Source organism: Homo sapiens, chromosome 9 (assembly GCF_000001405.40).
Source record: "Homo sapiens chromosome 9, GRCh38.p14 Primary Assembly".
NCBI classification, from domain to species: Eukaryota; Metazoa; Chordata; class Mammalia; order Primates; family Hominidae; genus Homo; species Homo sapiens.
This window is the reverse complement of record NC_000009.12, coordinates 92,900,411-92,913,066: the sequence shown is the minus strand read 5'-3', so window position 1 is coordinate 92,913,066 and position 12,656 is coordinate 92,900,411. Positions and strand designations below refer to the sequence as shown.

At 42.8% G+C, this 12,656-nt stretch overlaps 2 annotated features.

Moving 5' to 3' along the window:
* Positions 127-628: an enhancer, noted in NCBI's record as "H3K4me1 hESC enhancer chr9:95674721-95675222 (GRCh37/hg19 assembly coordinates)". NCBI's record gives its function as "activates a minimal SCP1, AML or CMV promoter by ChIP-STARR-seq in primed H9 embryonic stem cells {active_cell/tissue: H9 hESC(primed)}" and the evidence as "EXISTENCE:reporter gene assay evidence [ECO:0000049][PMID:30033119]".
* Positions 7,284-7,925: an enhancer, noted in NCBI's record as "NANOG-H3K27ac-H3K4me1 hESC enhancer chr9:95667424-95668065 (GRCh37/hg19 assembly coordinates)". NCBI's record gives its function as "activates a minimal SCP1, AML or CMV promoter by ChIP-STARR-seq in naive H9 embryonic stem cells {active_cell/tissue: H9 hESC(naive)}" and the evidence as "EXISTENCE:reporter gene assay evidence [ECO:0000049][PMID:30033119]".

Genomic DNA, 12,656 nt, shown 5'->3' with positions numbered 1-12,656 from the left:
TGGGGTCAGAAAGTGGGTGGCAGGTCTCCAACCAACTCCGCCTGGCTACCCGCTGGGGCTTCCAGGAGCTACCCGCTGGAGCTCCAAGGAGCAGAACTCAGCCCCATGCCAAAAAGGAGTCCCGGCGGAAGCAGGGAGTGGAAACCATTACTTTGATTGGTGGGAGAAGCAGAAAAGGATTTGGACAGAAAATACGCAGGAAGAAGGAATCAACGCCTCGTACAGGAGGCAGGTGAGGTGGGGGCAGGAGTTATGCACCAGTGTAAGATGGAGTTTCAGGCAAGCCTGGATGGCTAGGAAATCCCCCTCCATCTAAACGTGCGCGTGTGCGCGCGCGTCTCACAAGTTGGGCTACAGGAGGGGGTGAAGTGGGAGAGGAGACCCAGTCTTCAGTGACATTTGAGGAAGACACATTAAGGCCACTGAATTCATTGGACCAACTTTGCTTACTTGCCTTCCCTGTGCCAGGCTCTGGGATTCATTCCTTTTGAATGTAAACGCCTCTGCCTCCCTATTGCCTGCGGAATAAAAATCCAAATTTGGGGGCATTCAATGCCCTTGCTAACCCGACCAGACCTCCTTGCCCCTCATCCCACTGCACCAGGGCATCTTCTGCTGCTTCACTTTGGGCTGGAGCCATGTGTTCCCTGGAACCCACGCGTCTTTCCCTCAAAGAACCTGCTCCTGGGTAAGCCTATTCATCCTTCTAAACCCTGATTCCAGTTTTTCAGCTAAGTCTTTCCTGGTTATTCCACCCCTGTCACCTCACCAGAGCTGGTCAGCTTTCCTTTCTACCACTTTTCTCTTTGTGCACACTTCTATTGTTGCACACTTAATCCTGCGCTGTGATCTTTTGTTTGTATGTCTGTATCCCCCACTAATGCGAGTTTGTCCTAGGCAGGGACTACACACCCAGCAGGACTCTCACTTTTGTTTCCCCTGGATTTAGCACAGTATCAGGGCTTGTGGGTGTCAATCAGTGTTTGCCAAAACACATTGAGCTGAAAACTTCATGATAAATAAATCCTTCCCTTGGGAGAGACACAGCTAAACAAATAACTCTCCGGCAATGTAAACAATAGGGGAATAGTAAAATAAACTCCAAGGCATGGACTGCAGTCAGCCTGGTAAGACAAATAAAGTTTATGAAAATATGTGTCTGATGCACTTTTTCTGGTTTGCATAATTTTTTTAGTAGGAAGTACATCACATGATTCAAAATTCAGAAGATACAACGTGGTATTCACTAGTTTCTCCCTCCTCTTGGCCCCAAGCCACCCAGTTTCTCCACCCCTAGCAATCACTGTTACCAGTCTTCTCTGTGCACTACTATTACTGAGCAAACACTGCCTATTTTTGGTCCTTTTCCTGCACATTTTAGCATATTCCTTACACATTCTTCTGCACCTTACTTTTTCCATATTGCAACATAAGTCAGGTCATTCCATACCCGCACATAAAGAGCTTCCTTGTTCTTCGTTAAGGCTGCCATCGTTTTGCTGTAGCGTAATAAATTCTACTAATCTGTTGTAAGTGGACACTTACGTTCTTAGCAATCTTTTGTAACTATGAAAAAATGCTGAAAGAAATAAACCAGTGTATACAGCATTTCTCATATGAAAGCATATCTGTAGAACAAAATCCTAGAGATGGAATTTCTGGACCAAAAGCATATCTAATTTTGGCAGAAATTGCCCTCCACAGGAAGTTGTACCAGTTTATACTTCAGTAGTGGACTGTGTATGAGAATGCCTGTTCTTTCTCACTCTTGCCAATGGTGTGTTAATAACCATTATTACCTTAGCCAATCAAATAGGTGAAAAGTGGTACCCTGGTTTTAATTTTAATTTGCACTGCCCTTATTATAAGTAAGATTGAGCATCTTTTTATATTGTAGGAAATTTGTATTTCCTTCTGTGTGAACTGGCTATTCCATTTATCCATTGGGCTTTGGGCATTTTCTTTTTCTTTTTCTTCTTTTTTTTTGAGACAAGATCTTGCCGTGTCACTGGAGTGCAGGGGTACAATTATAGCTCAAACTCCTGGGTTCAAGTGATCCTCCTCCTTCAGCCTCCCAAGTAGCAAGGACTACAGATGTATATGCCACCATACCTAGCTAATTACAAAATTTTTTTTTAGTAGAGACAGGGTCTTGCTCTGTTGAGCAGGATGGTCTTGAATCCCTGACCTTAAACAATCCTCCTGCCTCAGCCTCCCAAAGCACTGGAATTACAGGTATGGGCCACCACATCCGGCCTTGGTCATCTTCTTATTTATTTGTAGGAACTATTTATATAGTAGGAACATTAGCCCTCTTACAGCTCTATCACTACTAAGAGGTGCCCAATAGCAACAAGGTCCTTTTTATCATCGTCAATTCCTTAGAGCCTAGATTTTGGTCTATAATATAATTCTCCACTAAAAAAAAAAACCTGGGCTCTTGGAGGGTGGCTGATTCTGTGTTTGGGGGCAGGTAAAACACAAGATAAGCCCGGAACATACCGATGTTGCTAAAAAGTAAGGGTGCTGAGGTAGCACAATCTTATAAAAAAAGATAGCTCTTTGAGAGAAACTACAAGCATCAGAGCCCCAACCCCGAAGTAATCTGCTGAGAAGCCCAAGTCTATAGCCTTGGTTGATCTGAGGATTGAGGATATTAGGTGATTTGGGTGGGGGTAGGGTCTGATAAGATTTTAGTAACACAAGGAAACATCAAAAGAAATAGTTTAGCAAATAAGAAAGTATCTTATACCTAGGGAAAAACACAAATAAAAACCAATGAAGTAATAAATCCATCATGTTGGTGTTTTAAGATAGATATAAGGATAATTATAGTAAGTCCTGTAATCATTGCATTTGTGTTTATTTTGTGTACTTTAAAAAGTATATTCAGGCTGGGCGCGGTGGCTCACGCCTGTAATCCCAGCACTTTGGGAGAATAAGGCGGGCGGATCACGAGGTCAGGAGATGGAGACCATCCTGGCTAACACGGTGAAACCCCGTCTCTACTGAAAATACAAAAAATTAGCCAGGCATGGTGGCAGACACCTGTAGTCCCGACTACTTGGGAGGCTGAGGCAGGAGAATGGCATGAACCCGGAAGGTGGAGCTTGCAGTAAGCCGAGATCGCACCACTGCACTCCAGCCTGGGCGACTGAGCAAGACTCCGTCTCAAAAACAAAAAAAAAAAGTACATTCAAAAGAATCATATTAAATTTGTAATTACAGTTTAAATGGAAAGGAATTTAATGAAGTTTGTAATCAATCTTTGAATATTAAAAAAGTTTCAAAATGTTGTATACAGTATATGTTTAATAAATTGAGCATTAAACAAAACATGAATATTTGTGGGGTGTTCTCTCCATAGACAAAAATATCCTCAAACATTAAAAACTTTTTCAACAGTGAGCATGATCTCTGTCAACAATAAGGATAGGTAAATACTTGAAAATGTGTACACTCAAGTATTAGCAATGATTATCTCTAGAGAGTGGAGAGGAAGTATGGAAGGGATTTTCATGTTTGATATATTTTGGAATTTTAAAACATTTTTAAAGAAGCATGACTTATTTGGGTAATCTCAAAAACTTTATCTTGAATAAAATACAAGGCTATAAATGCTATTATGAAAACATTCACTATAATCAAGTGTGGTTATATGGGAAGCCCCAACATTCAAGTGCAAGTTTTCTTTTATAAATGAAATTCAGAAAAATCAAAATGTAATGTATAAAATTCATCTTCTATAGAAACGGCACAAACCCAATAATTTTCTTACAGATTAAAAATGTGATTGAAGAGTTGGGAAGACCTCCAAAAGTAATTCACAGTAACTTGTGCTTTGGCACTCCACTGATGGGAGTGAGAGGTGGGAGGTGGGGAGGGGGCTGGCAGATGGGGATGGTTTTGGGATGAAACTGTTCCACCTCAGGGGCCAGGCATGGTGGCTAATGCCTGTAATCCCAGCACTTTGGGAGGCTGAGGCAGGTGGATCATTTGAGGTCAGGAATTTGAGACCAGCCTGGCCAACATGGTGAAACTCTGTCTCTACTAAAAATAAAAAAATTAGCTGGGCGTGGTGGCACGTGCCTAGTGGCAGCTACTCGGGAGGTTGAGGCAGATGGGGTTATTTCTAAACAGAACTTGTCTCTAATTCGAATGTAACAGAAATGTATTTGATAATCAGTATATATATTTTTTTGCTCTGTCTATAAAGTAGCCATTCTTTATCTCTTTACTTTCTTAATAAACTTGTTTTCACTTTACTCCATGAACTCACCCTGAATTACTTCTTGTGAGAGATCCAAGAACCCTCTCTTGGGGTCTGGATCAGGACCCCTTTCTGGTAACATCTTCCTGGCAACCATGAAGGGATGATACTGTGGAGACACCTCACCCAAAGGAAATAGACTGCAGCACTGATTGGATGACTTTGGGTAAGTGGTGGGGTACCTGGGTAAAGGATGGGATTGGGTTACAGGCTCGATTTAGGACAAATTCTCTCCTAAGACAGAGTGGGTAAAAGACCCCTCTTAATAAAAGGCAAGGGCGCTTGGCCAAACTTGGGTTCGAAGCCCAACTTAGGAGGGTTAGAGTCCTTCCTAAGATTTAGGGGGTTAGAGGCCCCTCTCAGTAAAGTCCCTCTTGGTTAAAAATGGATTTGGCATTATGGGATATTAACCACTATTCTTTTTTGATTAATCTGTCTTGTACTCTTTGTTGACTGCTATGGGTGACAGGATTAGGCATGTACAGGATCACTGGACACGGGAACCTTTTTTTTTTTTATCCCTAAAAGGGGAAACCTGAATGCTGATAGGACTGCTGGAAAGATCCCCTCACTACCGACCAGCAACCGCCTGAGCTTTTGATTCAGGGTCTCTGCAATGGATAGGTCTTTCTCTGGCCTCCCTGAGCTCCTCACCTTCCCTTCCCTGCTGTAGGCAATGCTTTTCTCCCTTTCTCTCTCCTTCCTTCCCTCCCTCCCTCTTTCCTGCCTTCCTGCCTTTCTCTCTCTCTCTCTCTTTCTGTCTTTCTCTCTTTCTTTATCTTTCGACAGAGTCTTCCTCTGTCACCCAGGCTGGAGTGCAGTGCTGTGATTTCTGCTCACTGCAACCTCCGCCTCCCAGGTTCAAGCAATTCTCCAGCCTCAACCTCCCAGGTAGCTGGATTACATGTGTGTGCCACCACATCCGGCTAATTTTTGTATTTTTAGTAAGATGGGGTTTCACCATGTTGGCCAGGCTGGTATGAACTCCTGATTTCAAGTGAGCTGCCTGCCTTGGCCTCCCAAAGTGCTGGTATTACAGGCGTGAGCCACTGCGCCTGGCCTCCTTTCCCTTACTTATCCTTTCTGTTACTTAGGGCGACTACCTTGCCCAGAGACCACATATTGGAACTCCTTCAATCCACTTTGAGTGGATCAGAGATGACAGGGTCCAACTGGAGGCAAGTTTGAGCCTTGCCAGGTTGACAATGGGTGCTAAGCAGAGTGGCTAATGCCTATGTTTTGTGGGTTTTGATTAGTGGGAAAAAGGATTCATGAGACTAGTCTGAGGCTGTAGAAAATCTGATGTACTTCGTGCTATGAATTGTATTTCTGTGTTGTTCTATAAGGGAGAACGGTACCTTAGGATAGAATACAGGCCTAGGATCCTATAAGCCCTCTGTTCAAGATGGCCCAGCAAGCTGGTCAGTAACAAACTTTGCTACAGGTCCCTGAAACAACAACAAAAAAAACTGGATGAAGTTTTCCTCTCATCTTGTTTTATGTCCTTGGGAGCTTGACCTTGTAACCACGTGCTGGTACTTCCTTTTGGTCTTTGCCTTCCAGGGAACAGAAATTTTGGGGTTCATGTCATAGCCCTAAAAATTATCTTGAGCCATTAAAAGCCTTTACAAGCTCAAAATTAGCTGCCCTAGGCTCCTTCTGGGGAGAGCTATGGAGACTGCCCAATGCATTAGCTTAGGAGGTAAGGCTTATTGGTTTCACCTGTGAGGGTAATTTTATTAACGTTTAAAAGGCAGAAATATCTGCCATTTGGCCTGGGTAAAGAAGAATAATAAGAGATTTAGAGGGATTTTTTTTTTTTTTAAAGACCACTATGGTTAAAAGTCAGCTTAATTGAAAGCAGATATTCAAGCTCTAACAGCCTGGGACACCTTGGGAAAAACAGAGGAGGCGCCACAGGCCCCATTTAGGGAAAAACCTCCATTTTCCTTATGGAACTCCGGGAATTGAAAGTGAATAGATCCCTCTCAAAATCTAAGGCTCTTTTCTGTTTTGCATTGCATTATCTGACATTTTTTACTTTCCGGGGTATCAGAAATTACTTCGCATTATGATAGAGCTTTGGCGTATAATAACTAGGTAGGAAATAGAGTTTTGGAGCTAGATAATGGCAGTTATGGGGAGATACTCAGCTCTTTGCATGTTTGGATCACAGGGGCATGCTCTTGGCCATCTAGAAAGTATGGAAATGACCCACCCCCACTGAGAGATAAACTCCCATGGGAGATGAGCTGATACCCCCTTTTTTTGGGGACCCAGGATTCAGTATAAAAATGGAACCCTTGGCCAGGCACAGTGGCTCACGCCTGTAATCCCAGCACTTTGGGAGGCCGAGGTGGATGGATCACCTGAGGTCAGGAGTTCGAGACCAGCCTGGCCAACATGGTGAAACCCTGTCTCTCCTAAAAAAAAAAAAAAAAATTATCCGAGCATGGTGGTGGACGCCTATAATCAATCCCAGCTACTCAGGAGGCTGAGGCAGAAGAATTGCTTGAATCTGGGAGGCAGAGGTTGTGGTGAGCCGAGATGGCGCCACTGCACTCCAGCCTGGGCAACAGAGTAAGACTCAATCTCAAAAAACAAACACCCAAAAAAATGAAACCTTTAATTTTGGTGGATCTGTTTTGCCTGCCAGTTGCCCTGCTTATTAAACCATAGAAACTGCATGCTTTAAAGAGAAACTTAAAAACTCGCAAATAAAAAAATCTTGAGCCAAGATGGCCAAATAGGAACAGCTCTGGTCTACAGCTCCCAGCGTGAGCGACGCAGAAGACGGGTGATTTCTGCATTTCCATCTGAGGTACTGGGTTCATCTCACTAGGGAGTGCCAGTCAGTGGGCGCAGGACAGTGGGTGCAGCACACCGTGTGTGAGCCAAAGCAGGGCGAGGCATTGCCTCACTCGGGAAGCACAAGGGGTCAGGGAGTTCCCTTTCCTAGTCAAAGAAAGGGGTGACAGACGGCATCTGGAAAATCGGGTCACTCCCACCCCAATACTGCACTTTTCCGATGGGCTTAAAAAACGGTGCACCACGAGATTATATCCCGCACCTGGCTCGGAGGGTCCTACGCCCACGGAGTCTCGCTGATTGCTAGCACAGCAGTCTGAGATCAAACTGCAAGGCGGCAGCGAGGCTGGGGGAGGGGCGCCCGCCATTGCCCAGGCTTGCTTAGGTAAACAAAGCAGCTGGGAAGCTTGAACTGGGTGGAGCCCACCACAGCTCAAGGAGGCCTGTCTGCCTCTGTAGGATCCACCTCTGGGGGCAGGGCACAGACAAACAAAAAGACAGCAGTAACCTCTGCAGACTTAAATGTCCCTGTCTGACAGCTTTGAAGAGAGCAGTGGTTCTCCCAGCATGCAGCTGGAGATCTGAGAACCAGCAGACTGCCTCCTCAAGTGGGTCCCTGACCCCTGACCCCTGAACAGCCTAACTGGGAGGCACCCCCCAGTAGGGGCAGACTAACACCTCACACGGCCGGGTACTCCTCTGAGACAAAACATCCAGAGAAACGATCAGACAGCAGCATTCGCGGTTCACAAAAATCCGCTGTTCTGCAGCCACTGCTGCTGGTACCCAGGCAAACAGGGTCTGGAGTGGACCTGTAGCAAACTCCAACAGACCTGCAGCTGAGGGTCCTGTCTGTTAGAAGGAAAACTAACAAACAGAAAGGACATCCACACCAAAAACCCATCTGTATATCACCATCATCAAAGACCAAAAGTAGATAAAACCACAAAGATGGGGAAAAAACAGAGCAGAAAAACTGGAAACTCTAAAAAGCAGAGTGCCTCTCCTCCTCCAAAGGAATGCAGCTCCTCACCAGCAACAGAACAAAGCTGGATGGAGAATGACTTTGACGAGTTGAGAGAAGAAGGCTTCAGACGATCAAACTACTCCGAGCTACAGGAGGAAATTCAAACCAAAGGCAAAGAAGTTAAAAACTTTGAAAAAAATTTAGACGGATGTATAACTAGAATAACCAATACAGAGAAGTGCTTAAAGGAGCTGATGGAGCTGAAAGCCAAGGCTCGAGAACTATGTGAAGAATGCAGAAGCCTCAGGAGCCAATGCGATCAACTGGAAGAAAGGGTATCAGTGATGGAAGATGAAATGAATGAAATGAAGCAAGAAGGGAAGTTTAGAGAAAAAAGAATAAAAAGAAACGAACAAAGCCTCCAAGAAATATGGGGCTATGTGAAAAGACCAAATCTACGTCTGATTGGTGTACCTGAAAGTGACGGGGAGAATGGAACCAAGTTGGAAAACACTCTGCAGGACATTATCCAGGAGAACTTCCCCAATCTAGCGAGGCAGGCCAACATTCAGATTCAGGAAATACAGAAAACGCCACAAAGATACTCCTCGAGAAGAGCAACTCCAAGACACATAATTGTCAGATTCACCAAAGTTGAAATGAAGGAAAAAATGTTAAGGGCAGCCAGAGAGAAAGGACGGGTTACCCACAAAGGGAAGCCCATCAGACTAACAGCGGATCTCTCAGCAGAAACTCTACAAGCCAGAAGAGAGTGGGGGCCGATATTCGACATTCATAAAGAAAAGAATTTTCAACCCAGAATTTCATATCCAGCCAAACTAAGCTTCATAAGTGAAAGAGAAATAAAATACTTTACAGACAAGCAAATGCTGAGAGATTTTGTCACCACCAGGCCTGCCCTAAAAGAGCTCCTGCAGGAAGCACTAAACATGGAAAGGAACAACCGGTACCAGCCAAATCATGCCAAATTGTAAAGACCATCGAGGCTAGGAAGAAACTGCGTCAACTAATGAGCAAAATAACCAGCTAACATCATAATGACAGGATCAAATTCACACATAACAATATTAACTTTAAATGTAAATGGACTAAATGCTCCAATTAAAAGACACAGACTGGCAAATTGGATAAAGAGTCAAGACCCATCAGTGTGCTGTATTCAGGAAACCCATCTCACATGCAGAGACACACATAGGCTCAAAATAAAAAGATGGAGGAAGATCTACCAAGCAAATGGAAAACAAAAAAAGGCAGGGGTTGCAATCCTAGTCTCTGATAAAACAGACTTTAAACCAACAAAGATCAAAAAAGACAAGGCCATTACATAATGGTAAAGGGATCAATTCAACAAGAAGAGCTAACTATCCTAAATATATATGCACCCAATACAGGAGCACCCAGATTCATAAAGCAAGTCCTGAGTGACCTGCAAAGAGACTTAGACTCCCACACAATAATAATGGGAGACTTTAACACCCCACTGTCAACATTAGACAGATCAATGAGACAGAAAGTTAACAAGGATACCCAGGAATTGGACTCAGCTCTGCATCAAGTGGACGTAATAGACATCTACAGAACTCTCCACCCCAAAGCAACAGAATATACATTTTTTTCAGCACCACACCACACCTATTCCAAAATTGACCACATAGTTGGAAGTAAAGCTCTCCTCAGCAAATGTAAAAGATCAGAAATTATAACAAACTGTCTCTCAGACCACAGTGCAATCAAACTAGAACTCAGGATTAAGAAACTCACTCAGAACTGCTCAACTACATGGAAACTGAACAACCTGCTCCTGAATGACTAATGGGTACATAACGAAATGAAGGCCGAAATAAAGATGTTCTTTGAAACCAATGAGAACAAAGACACAACATACCAGAATCTCTGGGATGCATTCAAAGCAGTGTGTAGAGGGAAATTTATAGCACTAAATGCCCACAAGAGAAAGCAGGAAAGATCCAAAATTGACACCCTAACATCACAATTAAAAGAACTAGAAAAGCAAGAGCAAACACATTCAAAAGCTAGCAGAAGGCAAGAAATAACTAAAATCAGAGCAGAACTGAAGGAAATAGAGACACAAAAAACCATTCAAAAAATTAATGAATCCAGGAGCTGGTTTTTTGAAAGGATCAACAAAATTGATAGACCGCTAGCAAGACTAATAAAGAAGAAAAGAGAGAAGAATCAAATAGACGCAATAAAAAATGATAAAGGGAATATCACCACCGATCCCACAGAAATACAAACTACCATCAGAGAATACTACAAACACCTCTATGCAAATAAACTAGAAAATCTAGAAGAAATGGATAAATTCCTTGACATATACACCCTCCCAAGACTAAACCAGGAAGTAGTTGACTCTGAATAGAACAATAACAGGCTCTGAAATTGTGGCAATAATCAATAGCTTACCAACCAAAAAGAGTCCAGGACCAGATGGATTCACAGCCGAATTCTACCAGAGGTACAAGGAGGAACTGGTACCATTCCTTCTAAAACTATTCCAATCAATAGAAAAAGAGGGAATCCTCCCTAACTCATTTTATGAGGCCAGCATCATCCTGATACCAAAGCCTGGCAGAGACACAACCAAAAAAGAGAATTTTAGACCAATATCCTTGATGAACATTGATGCAAAAATCCTCAATAAAATACTGGCAAACCGAATCCAGCAGCACATTAAAAAGCTTATCCACCATGATCAAGTGGGCTTCATCCCTGGGATGCAAGGCTGGTTCAATATACGCAAATCAATAAATGTAATCCAGCATATAAACAGAACCAAAGACAAAAACCACATGATTATCTCAATAGATGCAGAAAAGGCCTTTGACAAAATTCAACAACCCTTCATGCTAAAAACTCTCAATAAATTAGGTATTGATGGGACATATCTCAATAATAAGAGCTATCTATGACAAACCCACAGCCAATATCATACTGAATGGGCAAAAACTGGAAGCATTCCCTTTGAAAAGTGGCACAAGACAGGGATGCCCTCTCTCACCGCTCCTATTCAACATAGTGTTGGAAGTTCTGGCCAGGGCAATTAGGCAGGAGAAGGAAATAAAGGGTATTCAATTAGGAAAAGAGGAAGTCAAATTGTCCCTGTTTGCAGATGACATGATTGTATATCTAGAAAACCCCATTGTCTCAGCCAAAATCTCCTTAAGCTGATAAGCAACTTCAGCAAAGTGTCAGGATACAAAATCAATGTACAAAAATCACAAGCATTCTTATACACCAATAACAGACAAACAGAGAGCCAAATCATGAGTGAACTCCCATTCACAATTGCTTCAAAGAGAATAAAATACCTAGGAATCCAACTTACAAGGGATGTGAAGGACCTCTTCAAGGAGAACTACAAACCACTGCTCAATGAAATAAAAGAGGATACAAAGAAATGGAAGAACATTCCACGCTCATGGGTAGGAAGAATCAATATCATGAAAATGGCCATACTGCCCAAGGTAATTTGTAGATTCAATGCCATCCCCATCAAGCTACCAATGACTTTCTTCACAGAATTGGAAAAAACTACTTTAAAGTTCATATGGAACCAAAAAAGAGCCCACATCACCAAGTCAATCCTAAGCCAAAAGAACAAAGCTGGAGGCATCACGCTACCTGACTTCAAACTATACTACAAGGCTACAGTAACCAAAACAGCATGGTACTGGTACCAAAACAGAGATATAGATCAATGGAACAGAACAGAGCCCTCAGAAATAACGCCACATATCTACAACTATCTGATCTTTGACAAACCTGAGAAAAACAAGCAATGGGGAAAGGATTCCCTATTTAATAAATGGTGCTGGGAAAACTGGCTAGCCATATGTAGAAAGCTGAAACTGGATCCCTTCCTTACACCTTATACAAAAATTAATTCAAGATGGATTAAAGACTTAAACGTTAGAACTCAAGCCATAAAAACCCTAGAAGAAAACCTAGGCATTACCATTCAGGACATAGGCATGGGCAAGGACTTCATGTCTAAAACCCCAAAAGTAATGGCAACAAATGCCAAAATTGACAAATGGGATCTAATTAAACTAAAGAGCTTCTGCACAGCAAAAGAAACTGCCATCAGAGTGAACAGGCAACCTACAAAATGGGAGAAAATTTTTGCAACCTACTCATCTGACAAAGGGCTAATATCCAGAATCTACAATGAACTCAAACAAATTTCCAAGAAAAAACAACCCCATCAAAAAGTGGGCAAAGGACATGAACAGACACTTCTCAAAAGAAGACATTTATGCAGCCAAAAAACACATGAAAAAATGCTCAGCATCACTGGTCATCAGAGAAATGCAAATCAAAACCACAATGAGATACCATCTCACACCAGTTAGAATGGCAATCATCAAAAAGTCAGGAAACAACAGGTGCTGGAGAGGATGTGGAGAAATAGGAACACTTTTACACTGTTGGTGGGACTGTAAACTAGTTCAACCATTGTGGAAGTCAGTGCGGCGATTCCTCAGGGATCTAGAACTAGAAATACCATTGACCCAGCCATCCCATTACTGGGTATATACCCAAAGGACTATAAATTATGCTGCTATA